The sequence below is a fragment of the Homo sapiens genome, chromosome 4 (genome assembly GCF_000001405.40).
Source record: "Homo sapiens chromosome 4, GRCh38.p14 Primary Assembly".
NCBI classification, from domain to species: Eukaryota; Metazoa; Chordata; class Mammalia; order Primates; family Hominidae; genus Homo; species Homo sapiens.
In genome coordinates this window covers 27,101,282-27,103,255 of record NC_000004.12, presented here as the reverse complement: position 1 = coordinate 27,103,255, position 1,974 = coordinate 27,101,282, and the positions used below count along the sequence as shown (strand labels likewise).

Here is a 1,974-nt window from a genome sequence, read left to right as displayed (position 1 = left end):
TGTTTTTTGTCTCGATTCTGCAGGTTGGGCGGGGCTGAGTGGGGACAGCCCATCTCAGCTCTACTCAGCATCTCTGGAGCAGCTCTGAGGTTAGAGGCTGGAACCATCTGGAGCCTTTTTCTCTCACCTGTCTGGAGTTGATGCTGGCTGGCAGCTGGCATCTGACACGGTACTGTTGGCTGGAACATCACATGGCCTCTCCATGTAGTATAGGCTTCCTCACAATATGGTGGGTAAATCCCAAGCGCAAACATCCTAAGATAGATGAGAGACAGGGACAGAAAGGGGGCATGAGTGGCAGGCTGGCACTACCTTGCATCTTCTAATCTAGACTCAGGGGTCCTCCAGCACCACTTCCATTGCATTCTCTTCCTAGAGGTGAGTCACTAAAGCCAGTCCATATTCAAGAAGTGGAAAATTGGATTCCACCTTTTTATAGGAGGCGTGCTAAATAATTTGTAGATGTCACAGACAACAATGTGAGAGAATGGTATGTATACCAGATGGTTAGTAAAGGGGACTCCAAATTCCATATCAGTCAGGATTCTCCAGAAAAACAGAACCAATAGGAAATTAGATAGATAAATAGATAGACAGATAGACTGATAGATTGATAGATATGATACACACATACATATATGCACAGATCTATGTAGATACACATGTACAGTACATATATAAGCCTATATACATATGTATATGTATATGCAGGCATATGTGTATGCATGTGTGTGTGCATGTATATGTAGATATAAAGAGTTATATTTTAAGGAGTTGGCACATACAATTGTGGGAGCTGGCAAGTCTGAAATTCACAGGTCAGGCCAATAGACTGGAAACCTGGGCAGAAGTTAGAGGATTGGGAACCACTGGAAGATTCTGGGCAGGGGAGTAGTATGATCCACTTCACTCCATTTAAAGACAGCACTGGCTGCCGGGGAGGAGGTATGCTGGAAGGATTGCCAAGTGTGAGCAGCTCCCAGGTCCAGGAGTGGGGAAGGATGAGTCGAAGAGGCACTGTGCAGGACAGCCCTGAGCTTCCCATGCCCACTGATGGAGCACAGTCGCCATGAGACAGAAACCAAGAAATCATCCTGGGGAGTGGCTTAGGGATTCTGTTAGAGAAAAATTAGTTTTGAAACAAAAACTGTACAACCCTCTAGAATAAAAGCAGTGGGAATTCAGGCCTAGAGCTGGCCTGCTGGCTCAGGGCTGCAGGTACGCTTCTCAAAGGCAGGGCTTAGAGGTGGTGTCTGAAACCATGGGCCTGAGGGGCTCAGGAAGGGCGAGAGAGGGAAGAGGGCACAAGACCTCCCAGCCACCAGCTCCTTAGGATTATCTATTCATGGCCACAGACAGAGGTTTCACGTGTTGAGGCAAGAAAAAGAAAACAGTTTGAAGAGAACACTCCTCTGTTCTCAGCCTCCTGAAAAGGTCACGCGTGTGATGAGGTATTAAAGGCAGTCCGGGAGACAGTTGAGGGCCAGCAGTATGCAGGCATGCATTACTTATGAGACTCCACTGAAATGTAAATTGGGGTGAGTTTATTGGTTCCCTTGGTCTTAAATGGAATCATAAAGTATTCACTGGGTCCAGCGAAGGCCTTTGAGATCTGGAGCTCTGCAAGAAATATGCGGCATACTAAGGTTACATTAATAAAAAATAAATAAATCCGTGTCCAAGAAACTCTTGCTTGTGCACTATAAAACTGCCCATTCTGTAGATATTAATGTTTAATGTGTTTGTAAAAAGCAGTCGGCTTTGCCGAGCACAGCAACAAAAACATCCCTCACCCCTCAGTACTTAACATCTCAGCACGTCTCCTAAGTGCTCTGGTGGAGAACACGCCAGCCTGGGTGGGAAAAGAGAGTTCTGGACAGTGCCTACTGGAGCCACATTAAAACACTGTTTCCCTAAGAGAAAACGTGCTCGTTTCCTCACCCATCAGCCGCTGCTACTGATGTAAGGGCGAGT

General features: G+C 46.4%; 1 annotated feature.

Annotated features, from left to right (window-relative positions):
- Positions 1,214-1,714: an enhancer, noted in NCBI's record as "H3K27ac hESC enhancer chr4:27103164-27103664 (GRCh37/hg19 assembly coordinates)". NCBI's record gives its function as "activates a minimal SCP1, AML or CMV promoter by ChIP-STARR-seq in primed H9 embryonic stem cells {active_cell/tissue: H9 hESC(primed)}" and the evidence as "EXISTENCE:reporter gene assay evidence [ECO:0000049][PMID:30033119]".